The following is a 15,987-nucleotide window of genomic DNA, read 5'->3' on the forward strand; positions in this document are numbered from 1 at the left end:
GTATGAGAACATAATACTTGAATTGTGACCTGAAGGATGAGTTGGAGATAATTAGTCAAAGGGCACTTGGGGTATGGAAGGGGACATGTTGATTAACGGTACACATAAATAAATATTCTCTTAAATAGATATCCTTGAAATCATATTTATACCATTGATTTGCTCAGTAAACATTTTTCAAATACAGAAAAAAGGTTCTCCATTATGGTTACAAATTTTAAGTTGGTGGATCCAAGTGAATGAAATATCAGCATAACTGTATGGGCAAAATAGATAAGAATTAAATACATGAATTTACCTCAGACTTATTTTATCTACCTCTGTAATATTTAACTTTAGTACCCAGGCTTGTTTACTACTTCTGCTTTACAGGCTTTATTTAAATCTGAACAATCCTACAGGGAAATCAGAATTAGAAAAAAAAAAATCTGGAGAACAATATGCTTCAAATAGAAACAAGAGAATGCAACTAGGTTAATTCTCTGAATCCTACTTGAAGAATGTATAAAGTTCTCTTTGCCTGCAACACATATTTGTGAATGAGACATATTCCCCAAAAATTCTTATCCCTGTACGTAATTGGAAAATAAAAGATCACATTTGTATATTCAACAACCATTCACCTATTTCGTAAGTCATTTTTTCATCCTTTATAGTATGGGAATTATTTTTTATGTTAAATAGAAACTGAATGCTCTGGGTTGAACAGTGTCCCCTCAAAATTCATGTACTTCCTAGAGTCCGAGAATGTGACCTTATTTGGAAATACCGTCATTGGGGTTGTAAGTAGCTAAGATGAGGTCATACTGGAGTAGGGCAGGCCCTTAATCCAACATGACTGGTGTTCCTTGTAAGAGAAGATAGGGCTGGTGTGGTGGCTCACACCTGTAATCCCAGCACTTTGGGAGGCCAAGCCGGGTGAATAGCTTCAGGTACAGGAGTTCAAGACCAGCCTGGCCAATATGGCGAAAACTCATCTCTACCAAAAATACAAAAAATTAGCCAGGCATGGTGGTGTGTGCCTGTAATCTCAGCTACCCAGGAGGCTGAGGCACAAGAATCACTAGAACCCGGGAGGTGGAAGTTGCAGTGACCTGAGATGGCGCCACTGCACTCCAGTCTGAGCAACAGAGCGAGACTCTGTCTGAAAAAAAAAAAAAAAAAAAAAAAGGAAAATAAAAAGAAGAGAAGATAGAGACACAGGAGAGAATGCCACATGAAGCTGGAGCACAGATTGGGGTGATACATCATGGCAACCATCAGAAGACAGGAAAAATGCATGGAACAGATTCTCCCTCAGAGTTCCAGAAGTTGCCAACCCTGCTAACGTGATTTTGCACTTCTAGCCTCCAGAATGGTGAGAGAATATATTTCTGCTGTTTTAAGGTATCCAGTTTGTGGTAATTTGTTATAGCAATCCTAGGCAACTAATACTCTGACAGAAAAAAATCTCGGATAATATGCATGAGAAAAATCTTTCAATAAACACAAAATTGGTATCAAAATGTTTTCATGTAAAAATAGATTAACTTTTCTGTAATTAGGCTGTGTTTTATAGTCATTCTTGCCTACTTCTTAGTCTTTGTTGTAGGATGCATAATAAAATACATGAATGAGTTTTAAATGGTTAACTTTGGAGAAAGGTTTTGGGAAGCTCATACAGTACACAGAAATAAAAGCTGATGTTACAATGAATGTACATTACTTTTCTAATAAAATATTTCTGAAATATTCAAAAAAAAAAAAACAACACACCAAACTTTAAAGCAATAGTGGTTAAAAGAGACAAAGAGGGACAGTATATAATGGTAAAAGGCCTTGTCCAACAGGAAAATATCATAATCCTAAACATATATGCACCTAACATCAGAGCTCCCAAAGTTATAAAACAATTACTAATAGACCTAAGAAATGAGATAGATAGCAACACAATAATAGTGGTGGGCTTTAATACTCCACTGACAGCACTAGACAGGTCATCAAGACAGACAGTCAACAAAGAAACAATGGATTTAAACTATACCTTGGAACAAATGGACTTAACAGGTATATACAGAATATTTCATCCAACAACCACAGAATACACATTCTATTCAACAGTGCATGGAACGTTCTCCAAGACACAGCATATGATGGGCCATAAAATGAGCCTCAGTAAATTTAAGAAAACTGAAATTATAACAAGCACTCTCTCAGACCACAGTGAAAAAAAACCGGAAATCAACTTCAAAACGAACCTTCAAAACCATGCAAATACATGGAAATTAAATAATCTGCTCCTGAATGAGCATTGGGTCAAAAACGAAATCAAGATGGAAATTTAAAAATTATTCGAACTGAATGACAAAAATGACACAACCTATCAAAACCTCTGCGATACAGAAAAGGTGGTGCTAAAAGGAAAGTTCATAGCCCTAAATGCCTACATCAAAAAGTCTGAAAGAGCACAAACAGACAATCTAAGGCTAGAGAACTAGAGAACTTAAAGAACTAGAGAAACAAGAAAAGACCAAACCCAAACCCAGCAGAAGAAAGGAAATAACCAAGATTAGAGCAGAACTGAATGAAATTGAAACAAAAAAAAAATACAAACAATAAATGAAACAAAAAGCTGGTTATTTGAAAAGGTAAATAAAATTGATAGACCATTAGCAAGATTAACTGAGAAAAGAAGAGAGAAAATCCAAATAACCTCACTAAGAAATGAAACAGGAGATATTACAACTGACACCACTGAAATACAAAAGATCATTCAAGGCTACTATGAACACCTTTACTCACATAAACTAGAAAATCTAGAAGAGGTGGATAAATTCCTGGAAAAATACAACCCTCCTAGCTTAAATCAGGAAGAATTAGATACCCTGAACAGACCAATAACAAACAGCAAGATTGAAATGGCAATTAAAACACATGCACACATAAGTTTATTGCAGCACTATTCATAATAGCAAAGACTTGGAACCAACCCAAATGTCCAACAATGACAGACTGGATTAAGAAAATGTGGCACATATACACCATGGAATACTATGCAGCCATAAAAAACGATGAGTTCATGTCCTTTGTAGGGACATGGATGAAGCTGGAAACCATCATTCTCAGCAAACTATCGCAAGGACAAAAAACCAAACACCACATGTTCTCACTCATAGGTGGGAACGGAACAATGAGAACACATGGACACAGGAAGGGGAACATCACACACCAGGGACTGTTGTGGGGTCGGGGGAGGGGGGAGGGATAGCATTAGGACATATACCTAATGCTAAATGACGAGTTAATGGGTGCAGCACACCAACATGGCACATGTGTACATATGTAACAAACCTGCACATTGTGCACATGTACCCTAAAACTTAAAGTATAATAATAAAATTTAAAAAAAGAATATGTAAAATTTTAAATTTAAAGATCAAATAATGAACAATTATTGTATTCATGTAATTTTGTCCTTAAATATATCAGTTGGCTAATTAAAAAAAAAAAACTACCAACAAAAAAAAAAGCCCAGGACCAGACGGATTCACAGCAGAATTCTACCAGACATTCAAAGAAGAATTGGTACCAATCCTCTTGACACTATTCCACAAGACAGAGAAAGAAGGAACCCTCCCTAATTCATTCTATGAAGCTAGCATCACCCTAATACCAAAACCAGGAAAGGACATAACCAAAAAGAAAACTACAGACCGATATCCTTGATCAACATAGATGGTAAAATCCTTAACAAAATAGTAGCTAACCAAATCCAACAACATATCAAAAAGATAAATATCAGGGATGCAGGGATGGTTTAACACACGCAAATCAATAATGTGATACACCACATAAACAGAATTAAAAACAAAAATCACATGATCATTTCAATAGATGCAGAAAAAGCGTTAGACAAAATCCAGCATCACTTTATGATTAAAACTCTCAGCAAAACCCACATACAAGGGACATACCTTAATGTAATAAAAGCCATCTATGACAAGCCCACAGCCAACATAATACTGAATGGGGAAAAGTTGAAAGCATTCCCTCTGAGAAATGGAAAAACACAAGGATGCCCACTCTCACCACTCCTCTTTAACATAGTACTGGAAGTCCTAGCCAGAGCAATCAGACAAGATAAAGAAATAAAGGGCATCCAAATCAGTAAAGAGGAAGTCAAACTGGCACTGTTTGCTGACAATATGATCATTTATCTTGAAAACCCTAAAGACTCCTCTAGAAAGCTCTTAGAACTAATAAAAGAATTCAGCAAAGTCTCCGGATACAAGATTAATGTACACAATCAGTAGCTCTTCTGTACACTAACAGTGACCAAGTGGAGAATCCAATCAAGAAATCAATCCATTTCACAATAGCTGCAAAAAAAAAAAAAATACTCAGTAATATACCTAACAAAGGAGTTGAAAGACCTCTACAAGGAAAACTACAAAACACTGCTGAAAGAAATCATAGATGACACAAACAAATGGAAACACATCCCACGCTCGTGGATGGGTAGGATCAATATTGTGAAAATGACCATACTGCCAAAAGCAATCTACAAATTCAATGGAATCCCCATCAGAATACCACCATCATTCTTCACAGAATTAGAAAAAAAAATTCTAAAATGCATATGGAATCATAAAAGAGCCCACATAGCCAAAGCAAGACTAAACAAAAAGAACAAATCTAGAGGCATCACACTACTGATTTCAAACTATACTATAAGGCCATAGTCACCAAAACAGCATGTGACTGGCATAAAAAAAAAAAAGGCACATAGACCAATGGAACAGAATAGAGAATGCAGAAATAAACCCAAATACTTACAGCCAGTTGACCTTTGACAAAGCAAACAAAAATATAAAGTGGGGAAAGGATACCCTTTTCAACAAATGGTGCTGAGATAATTGGCTAGCCCCATGTAGGAGAATGAAACTGGATCCTCATCTCTCACTTTATACAAATTTAACTCAAGGTGAATTAAGGACTTAAACCTAAGACCTGAAACTATAAAAATTCTAGAAGATAACATTGGAAAAACCCTTCTAGACATTGGCTTAGGCAAGGATTTCATGACCAAGAACCCAAAGCAAATGCAATAAAAACAAAGATAAATATCTGGGACCTAATTAAACTAAAGAGCTTTTGCATGGCAAAAGGAACAGTCAGCAGAGTAAACATACAACCCACAGAGTGGGAGAAAATCTTCACAATCTATACACCTGACAGAGGACTAATATCCAGAATCTACAATGAACACAAACAAATCAGTAAGAAAAAATCAAATAGTCCCATCACAAAGTGGGCTACGGACATGAATACAGAATTCTGAAAAGAAGATATATAAATGGTCAACAAACATATGAAAAAATGCTCAACATCACTAATGATCAGGGAAATGCAAATCAAAACTACAATATGATGCCACCTTACTCCTTCAAGAATGGCCATAAAAAAAAAAATCCCATAACAGTAGACGTTGGCATGGATGCAACAATCACGGAACACTTCTACGTTGCTGGGGGGAATGTAAACTAGTACAACCACTATGGAAAACAGTGTGGAGATTCCTTAAAGAACTAAAAGTAGAACTACCATTTGATTCAGCAATGCCTCTACTGGGTATCTACCTAGCAGAAAAGAAGTCATTATTTGAAAAAGATACTTGCACACGCATGTTTATAGCAGCACAATTCACAATTGCAAAATCATGGAACCAGCCCAAATGCCCATCAATCAATGAGTGGATTAAAAAACTGTGGTGTATATACATGGTGGAATACTATGCAGCCATAAAAAGGAATGCATTAACAGCATTTGCAGTGACCTGGATGAGACTGGAGACTATTATTCTAAGTGAAGGAACTCAGGAATGGAAAATCAAACATCCTATGTTCTCACTGATATGTGGGAGCTAAGCTATGAGGACGCTGCAAAGGCATAAGAATGATACAATGGACTTCGGGGACGTAGGGGGAAGAGTGGGAGGGGTAAAAGACAACAAATATGGTGTAGCGTATACAGCTCAGGTGATGGGTGCCCCAAACTCTCACAAATCACCACTAAAGAACTTATTCATGTAACCAGATACCTCCTGAATCCCAATAACTTCTGGAAAAATAAAATTAAAAAAATAAAAATAATAAATTCTTGATTATATGTTTTGCTAGAGAAACAGGAAGGCTTTGGTCTTTTGATGACAGAGAGAAGCTTAGGGAATTTGGAAAAATATTAAGGGGGAAGAAGCTTGTAGCTCCCAAGATAGATAAGCTAATTATTTCTCTCTCTTTCTTTCTCCCTCCTTTCTTCTAACATCTCCCTCCTTTCTTCTAACATCTTCGATTTTTTTTTTTTCAAAACTTGAAGAAACTTTGATAACAATTTGCCCTAGGTCCCTCCTTAACTGATTGGGAAACTGAGGACAACAGCGTTTAAGTTGCTTGCCCAAATCATACAACTAGATCCTTGGCTGCTAACTTTTCAAAAGGCCTTCATAAAATTTCACAGCAGAGACTACTAACGCCGGGGTTGGAGATGCCTGTGAAGGGAGCATCAAGAACATCTGGTGATGAAGAGAGAACTGGACTGGAAGGAAGGGCATACGTGGGCACTTCTCTGGATGAGTCTGTGTGAAGAGAGTTTTTTTTTAATGTGAGTTTTATTCATGATAAATGATAAAAAGTAGGAAAACAAAGCACTCATGTTTAGTGTCTTGAACATTGTGTATTGTTCTTTTTGGATTGGAAAAAATTTAATTCAGGACTATATGAACTTAGTTGGTACAGTTTCTCCAGGGTAGTTTTACTGACACGTAAGTCACAGACTGATATTTCAGATCCTTGCCAGGTATCCTAGCTATGTAGACATATACAAATTGAATTTTGGTATATGGCTACATTTAGCCACACTGATATGGGCTTCATCAGTTAAATATCTTTATAGCAGGCTCTCACCTTTATCCCTTCACTTGTCTACCTAACCTCGATATTCTTGTTATTGGGGAAGGGTTTGGGGAGATGAGAAGCTGGCATCCTTGAAGTGAGACTCCCAGTGAAAGCCAAATGCATGCAAAAGGGACATTCCCAGAGTGATGGAACCACACAGTGGGTGGACAGAAGGTTGGGAAACAGGCCAGATAAGACAATGTTTTGGTTTAAGGCTACACTGATAAGGGAAGGATGAAGCATGGTTTCCAGGTGGCGTGTTTCTCTCTTTTAATGTTGTTTACAGAGGATGTCTGTCCAAGAGAGGTGAGTTTTGGAAGAAGCAGCCTCGTGTTATATACTTTGGTTGGTATTTTGCAGATCACAATAATCTAATTGATAGATTTATACCACATGTATTTGTGCATACACACACATGTATATGTCACTGTTGTAGAGTTTTGCCAGATAATTACAGGAATTATTTCGGTTCTAGAACTTTATAGGGGCATGATAACTGCAGTCTGAGCACTCAAGAGTGGAGCACTCTTCCACTCTTTGGGAAGCTGCTGATGACAAAGCAAAAACACCTCACTCTGTACCCCAGGACTCCAGGGGCTGCATTAGGATAGGGTAACCATGTCAGATGACCTGAAGAAGGATCAAAAAATTGGCCAATTATTTGACTAGGACATTTTTGGAGGGCACTCTACCTTGCAGCTTATCAAGGATGTATAATTCTATGTAATGAATCATGTACCTACTAGCAGGCAGAACTTCTAGGAATTCCCATGATTTATATAAAAGACTATTGACACTTCCAAGCTGTGATCTACCCAAGCACTTGGCCCACTCCCTCAAGGACTTTGGGCTGTGAGAGAGACCCACACATCCTCAGGTCCTGGTCTCCCAGCCTCGAGAGATTCTACCCAAACACCAACCTACAACCATTTTGTACATTCATTGCCAGATGTCTGATGTCCTTAAAAGTACATAATTTTCAGCTTTTGTGGCTGAATCCTTAAATGGGCTCTTAATCTCCACAGTCCTTGAATTGTGACAAGCTTTCAAAGGAAGAGATCTCCACATCAAGGGTTTGAGCACAGTTTGAAAGGAGTGCTTAGTTGCAGCCATTAGTCCACCAGCAGGAAACTAGCAGGCTGTCATCACATGCAGCCCCACATTAGCAGCAAATGTAGGTTCTCAAGGGGAACACTAGGAAGACATTATTCTACACAGGGCCTGGGATTACTGCCTGTGTTGTAATGCAAAATAGAACCTGTGAAATGAACAATGCATGGGTCTTAAATCTCTTTCTTAAAAAAGAATCTCTATCGCAAGAACAAAAAACCAAACACCACATATTCTCACTCATAGGTGGGAATTGAACAATGAGAACACATGGACACAGGAAGGGGAACATCACACTCTGGGGACTGTTGTGGGGTGGGGGGAGGGGGGAGGGATAGCATTGGGAGATATACCTAATGCTAGATGACGAGTTAGTGGGTGCAGCGCACCAGCATGGCACATGTATACATATGTAACTAACCTGCACATTGTGCACATGTACCCTAAAACTTAAAGTATAATAAATAAATAAATAAATAAATAAATAAATAAATAAGAATCTCAAAAAATAGATGGGAATGGAGGCCTTTGCTTTTCTCAGTTGTATCACCATTGTTGCCAAGGTTTTCTTCTCTGCCATTACCATCTCATGGTTGTTCTAAGTTCCCACCTTTGGTCGAGTGATTCCCTGATACTTGGTGAAAACCAAAACACAATTATGAAAGCAGTGCCCTTCTACTGATTGGCTGGAGGCATCCTTTCCATTGAGTTGGACTTCTTATTTTACTTTGTTCCCATTTGTCACCTCATCTCTGTTGATTCTGCCTTCTAAATTAATTCTTCTGCCATATGACTTAAGTCTCCTACTGCTAACTCCTCTCTTTACTTAACCTCATCTATTTGAATTCCCTAGTGTCAGTTATTGCTTGGGGAACAAAGGAAATGGAATGGCTTCTTATATTTATTTCATTTTTTTTCTCCCGTGGGAGACTTCTGAGAGGGAGCTTTGGCCTATTCAGAAGTATACAGTATTCACAGACGTGTACGAGGTCTGCCCCCTGACATTTAATCTTTAAAATTATTCCTCGTAGCCAACTCTAGTCAACTCTGGAAATTTCTTTATATTTAAAATGAGGCTAACTCATTCTTGGGATCTGGTGTTTCCAGATGTTCAAGTGTTGCTATTCTTCGATTGACTCAGTCTCTGCCATTGAAGTTTCAGCAGGAGCTGACATTGCTTTCCCATGCCTTCTCATAACTCATTACAGTCTTGGGAAAGTCACTCCTGGAACATCCCCAAAGTCTGGAGCGCTGGAATCTGAAAAGGTACACAGCAGCAGCCATCCACCTGCACTCCAACCTTCCATGTTATCAGATCTGTCGTCGTGTTGAAAAGTCGTATTGTGATATGGAGCTCAACTGTTGTCCTCATCTTGTACAAAGAGGGAGAGAGGCCTGAGGAGCCTTGGGTTATAGTTTCCAGTGACCAGCTCTGTGAGCTTGAACAAACAGCTTTTCTCTGTCTCTCAGTCTGTAAAATGAAGTGGTTTGATGTTTGATCAAATTCTATACAGTTTGGAATTATTCTTTCTCTTAAATTTCTGCATGGAATTTATTTTCCTCGCTTATAAAATAGATTGCATTTCCAAACTGTAGTCCTCACTGTATTATTTCCCAGTCTTTTTCCTATTATCCTAATTGTCTTACTTTTTGGGTACGATAGCTTCCCATTTAACTTGTTAAAACCTTTTTATTTTTATCTATGATTTATTAATGTATCACTTTTTGTATAGAACATTCAAAATATTTTTAGTAAACTAAAATTTCCTTTAGTTATATTATGTTAGTGAATTTTTGTTGAAATGTAACATATACGCAGAAAAGTAATAATAAGCATAGGGTTGAATTGCCACCAAGTAAATCCCACTTAATTATAACCCAGATCAAGAAACAATTTAACAAGCTTCCCAGAATCCCCCTCCATGCCCCATTCCATTTACTCACCTCCCCCTCAAGAGTGACCACTCTGCAGACTTCTAACACTATATATTTGCATCACCTGTATCTAAACTTTAAATAAGTGGAATCATATTGTATATATTGTTTGCGGTTTGGCTTCTTTCAAATTATGTTTTGAGATTCACATATGTTATTGTGGAGGAACTATAATTTCTTATTCTCATTGCTGTAGAGCAGTTTAACTTTTCAAATGATTTTTTTAAACTAGCATAGGAATTTCCGTTCTGTCTTCTTAGACCAAATAAATGCTGATGATGTCTCTGTGGAGAAAGAGTTTATATGCTAGAAAGTATCACAACAGAATGATATAAGATGTTTTAACCTCTTTCCACCTGTGACCATGGTAACTACTGGAAATGCTGGAGAGTGTGGCGCTCAAAAGAAGCTACCAGACTGTTTTGTGGATATTTCAGAGGATCCCAGAATGTCCTCATAAATTAAGGAAAAGTAGACCTTAATCCATTTCACTGATCAAAGTACCTGATCCAAAAATCAGGCCTTAATCCATTTCACTGATCAAAGTACCTACAACATATAAGCTCCATTACGTATTTTGTTATCAATGTTACTTTGGAAATAGACAGATATGAAAGCACATAATCAACAAACTATGATCAATAGATCAAATAACTCCTGGGGCTCCAGGGTGGGGACAGGAACACAAGGAAGAAGAAGTAACAATGTAGTAGTTGGCTCCTCCAGATGAAAAAAGTCTAATAAGCAAAGAGCAAGGCTGGGCTTAGTGTATGCACTCAGGACATTCTGAGTTCAAGTTTGAACTTGTGTACCATTGGCCATGCCTTTGAAAAGCCAGTTGATTGATGCTTCTAAGCAAAGAGTTTTCAATACAATCAAACATTGCTACTTATCAAGATTATATATTCTAGTGATAGATTTGATGCCCTACCAAGATGGGAATTATTCATGTGAAAAGTCTGAAAGCTCATAGTAGGAGTATAATCTCAAGCTAATTATCCAAAATGCCCAATTTCTCCTATACTTCTTTACAAAGATTTGCCCTAGATTCTTTCATGCTTTTTTACCTTTCTCCTGAGGGACAATTAGTTGTTAATTTCTTCCTTTAGTATCTTTTAGCAATCTCCAAAGTGAACCAAAAAGTCAGATTCACTCCCTTTAGATAAAAGATCTTGGACATTTTCTCTTCTTTCTTGGCTGTGGGCAAAGATTTTTTTTCTTTTACTCATTTCCTTGTATCCATCAGGAGTTAGGATGAAGGCAGCATATTTATTTGATGTAGAGTAAGTGGATAACTCAGAATCCTTTTAAAATGCTATCCATTTAAAAGGTCAGTAGTCCCATGTCCTTTGAGGTTTATCTGTCTGGCACTTGGGGGAGGGGGACAGTAAATAAATCTGTTGAGGCTGATGTGAGTTGGGGCCATCTGTGCCGTAGACAAGTGAATGCTGCAGACTTAGAAAAGGTTTCAACAAACTGATTTTAAATGATTTTTTTTTTTTTTTTTTTTTTTTTACTGGAAACATGACGTGGATTTGATACTCTACAATAGGGCACTCCCTGAGAGTTGTGAAGTAGGATATGGGGGAATGATTGATTTATTTGGTAAATAAAAAGTGGGACAAAGGAGAGGAGACTAGGATTCTTAAAGTTCAGTTTAACAAAGTCAGAAACAAAAAAAAGGAAATATAAATGATACCACAGAAATACAAAAGATCATCAGAGAATATTAGGAATGACTATACACTAACAAACTGGAAAACCTAGGGGAAAAGGATAAATTCCTGGACACATACAACCTATAAAGACTGAATCAGGAAGAACTAGAAAACCTGAACAGATCAATAATCAATAATAATCAGTAACAAGATTGAATGAGTAATAAAAAGTCTCCTAACAAAATAATGCCCAGGACCAGATGGCTTCACTGCTGAATTCTACCAAGCTTATAGAGAAGAACCAACACCAATTCTTCTCCAACTATTCCAAAAAATTGAATAGAATTCTCCCCAACTCATTGCTCATGGCCAGCATTAACCCGATACCAAAACCAAACAAGAACATGACATAAAAAGAAAACCACAGGCCAATATTCCTGATGAAAACAGAGGCAAAAATACTCAACGAACTACCGCAAATTGAAATCAATAGCACATCAAAAAGATAATACAAGCTGGCCATGGTGGCTCATGCCTGTAATCCAAGCTGGGGTGAGAGGATCGCTTGAGGCCAAGACTTCAAGACCAGCCTAGGCAACATAGTGAGACTCTGTCTTTACAAAACAAAATTTTAAAAAATTTTGGTACACACCTATAGTCCTAGCTACTCAGGAGGTTGAGGTGGGAGGATTGCTTAAGCCCAGGATTTCAAGGTTACAGTGAACTATGATCATGCCACTGCACTCTAACCTGGGCAAAAGAGCAAGATCCTGTCTCTAAAAAAATTAAAATAATAAAATTAACTAAAAGATAATGTAACAGGATCAAGTGAGATTGCATCCCATACAAGGGTAGTTCAGTATACATAAACCAAGAAACACAATACATCACATCAGGAGAATGAAGCCAAAAACCATATCATCTCATAGATGCAGAAAAAGCATTTGATAAAATCAACACTGCCTCATGATAAAAAAAAAAAACTCTCAACAAACTATGCAAAGAAGGAAAATATCTCAACATAATAAAGGTCATATATGACAGTCTCACAGCTAACATCACACTGAATGAGGGAAAGCTAAAAGCCTTTCCTCTAAGAACTGGAATAAGACAAGGATGCCCACTCTCACCATTCATATTCAACATAGTACTGGGAGTTGTAGCCAGGGCAATCAGGCAAGAGAAAGAAAGAAAAAGAAAACTACATCCAAATTGGAAAAGAGGAAGTCCAATTGTTCCTCTTTGCAAATGACATGATCTTACATTTAGAAGAACATGATGACTCCACCAAAACACTCTTAGATCTTATAAGCAAATTCAGTAAAGCTGCAGAATACAAAATCAATATGAAAAAATTAGTAGCATTTCTATACACCAGTAATGAAATAGCTGAAAAAAACAAGAAGACAATCTCATCTGCAACGGCCAAAAAAAAAAAAAAACGCCTAGGAATAAATTTAACCAAGGGGGGTGAAAGACCTCTACAAGGAAAATGACAAAGCACTGATGAAAGATATTGAAGAGGACACAAATGGAAAGACATCCCATGCTCACATATTAGAATAATTAATATTGTTAAAATGACTATACTACCCAAAGCAATCTACAGAGTCAATGCAATCACCATCAAAATACCAACATCATTTTTCACAGAAAATAAAAAACAATACTAAAATTTATGTGGAACCCAAAAAGTGCCTGAATACCAAAGCACTCTTGAGCAAAAGGAACGATGCTGGAGGCATCACACTACTTGGCTTCAAAATGTATTACAAGGCTACCGTAACCAACACAGCATGGTACTAGTATAAAATAGGCACACATGGACCAATAGAACAGAATAGAGAACCCCGAAATAAATCCACGTATTTGCAGCCAACTGATTTTTGACAAAGGCACCGAGAACATACATGGGGAATGGATACCCTCGTTAATAAATGGTGCTGGGAAAACTGGATGTCTATATGCAGAAGAATGAAACTAGACCCCTATCTCTCACCATACACACACAAGAAGACCCCTCAAAATTGATTAAAAAGCTTAATATAAGACATGAAACTATAAAACTACTGGAAGAAAATGTAAGGGAAACACTACAGGACATTGGTCTAGGCAAAGATTTTATGGCTAAATCTCAAAAGCACAGGCAACGAAAACAAAAATGGACAAATGGGATATTAAACTAAAAAGCTCCTGCACAGCAAGGGAAACAGAGTGAAAAGACAACCTGTGGAATGGGAGAAAATATTTTCAAACTATTCATCTGACAAAGGAGTAATATCCAGAATATACAAGAAGCTCAAACAACTCAATAGCAAAAAAGTAATAAACCCATTAAAACATGGGCAAAGGATATAGACATTTCTTAAAAGATGACATGCAAATGGCCAACAGGCATGTGAAAAATGCTCAATATCACTAATCATCAGGAAAATGCAAATCAAAACCATAATGAGATATCATTTCATGCCAGTTAGAGTGGCTATTATTAAAAAGACAAAAAATAATAGATGCTGGCAAGGATTCAGAGAAAAAGGAACTCTTATGATACACTATTGGTGGGAATGTAAATTAGTACAGCCATTATGGAAAACAATATGAAGATTTCATAAAAAACTAAAAATAGAACTACCCATATGATCCGGCAATCCTACTACTAGGTATGCATCCAAAGGAAAGGAAATCAGTATGTTAAAGGGATACCTGCAACCCCATGTTTACTGCAGCACTATTTACAATAGCAAAGCCGTGGAATCAACCTGAGTGACAATCAACAGATTAATGGGGATAAAGAAAATGTGGTATATATACACAATGGAATACTACTTGGCCATAAAAAACAAAATCTTGTCTTTTGCAGCAACATGGATAGAACTGGAGGTCATTATGTTTAGTGAAATCAGCCAGCCAGAACATATGTTCTCATATGTTCTCACTCATGTGTGGGAAGTATAGAAGTTGATCTCATCGAGGTGGAGAGTGGAATGATAGATATCTGAGGCTGGCAAGGGTGTGTATGCATAGAGAATGAAGAAAAGTTGGCTAATGTGTACAAACATTCAGTTAGATAGAAGGAATAAGTTCTAATGTTTGATAGCAGAGTTGGGTGACTACAGTTAACATCAATGTATTGTATGTTTCAAAACAGCTAGAAGAGAGGACTTGAAATGTTCCAACACATATAAATAGTAAATACTCAAGGTGATAGATACCCCAAATACCCTGACTTTATCATTGCGCATTCTATGCATGTAACAAAAAACCTTATACACCCTATAAAATGTACCAATATTATATATCAATAAAAATTCAGCTTAAGGTCTAGATTGCAATAAAATCCTGTGTTTTTGATTATTAGAAATCATCATCTACTTCCCCTTCCAATTTCCCCTATTTCCTTTAACATTAGTTTATTCTTTCATTTTATTTACAACTTTTGAGATTTTAAAAAGGCACCAGGCAGTATTTACTACTATTATTACTACTCTTAATACTACTAACTAACAAATGTGTAATGAATGCTTACTATATGTCAGGCATAGTGTCAGTTGCTTCACATATGTTATTTATATAATCCTGTCAATAATCCGATGAGATAGATATTATGTCCAATTTACAGATGAAGAAACTGAGGTTCAGAGTTGTTAAGCAACTTGCCCAATACAATCCCACTAGTAAATGCTAGAGATAGCATTCAAACCCGAGCAATCTTACAACAGAACAAATGGCAAAAACTGCAGTTACTTTGCACCAACTTACCGTTATTACCAACCTTTCCCTATTTCCTAAGTGCAACTTCTGAGGATTATTTTCAAGTGAATACACATTTAATTCTTTTTCTTAATTTTCAGCCTCAAATACACTTCTATGGATTCCATTTATTCATTGCTTTATGTGTCACTGTAAAACCACATCCTAGTTAAATCCCACATCTACCTAAATGTAGATTCCAAGAATCTAAGGAATACCATTATGTGTAAAGCCCCCGAGGATATTAAAAAGAAGAAATAATTCTGTCCTCTGTTGATCAAGGAGTTATGATATGTACACCAAATAACTTCAAAGTCAATGTGTTAAGTTCAAAAAGATGTTACAGATAAAAATTATGGGAATTTAGATGGAAGCAGCATTTGGGTCGAAAATTAAGAGTAAGCAGGAATTTGACATAAAAAGAAACAGAGTTCACTCCATTACACATGGAGGCATAGTTACCAGGAAGAAAAGGACATATTTGCAGTGCTGGCTGCAATAAATTTATCTGATTGGGATATGGGCTGTGTCAGTGGCATACTTGAGCTATACCTGCACTGAAACTCACCGCTCTTTCTCCACCCCAACGTTCCTTTCAATTA

The 15,987-nt window shown here is 36.9% G+C and overlaps 1 long non-coding RNA gene across 1 annotated transcript in view, besides 1 other annotated feature; it reads right to left on the reverse strand.

Moving 5' to 3' along the window:
- Positions 1-15,987, reverse strand: part of PTCHD1-AS (PTCHD1 and PHEX antisense RNA) — a 1,100,142-nt gene that overhangs the window by 245,016 nt on the left and 839,139 nt on the right. The window lies entirely within an intron of this gene.
- Positions 7,665-8,314: an enhancer, noted in NCBI's record as "OCT4-NANOG hESC enhancer chrX:22463802-22464451 (GRCh37/hg19 assembly coordinates)". NCBI's record gives its function as "activates a minimal SCP1, AML or CMV promoter by ChIP-STARR-seq in naive H9 embryonic stem cells {active_cell/tissue: H9 hESC(naive)}" and the evidence as "EXISTENCE:reporter gene assay evidence [ECO:0000049][PMID:30033119]".

The sequence above is a fragment of the Homo sapiens genome, chromosome X (genome assembly GCF_000001405.40).
Source record: "Homo sapiens chromosome X, GRCh38.p14 Primary Assembly".
In the NCBI taxonomy this organism is placed as follows: Eukaryota; Metazoa; Chordata; class Mammalia; order Primates; family Hominidae; genus Homo; species Homo sapiens.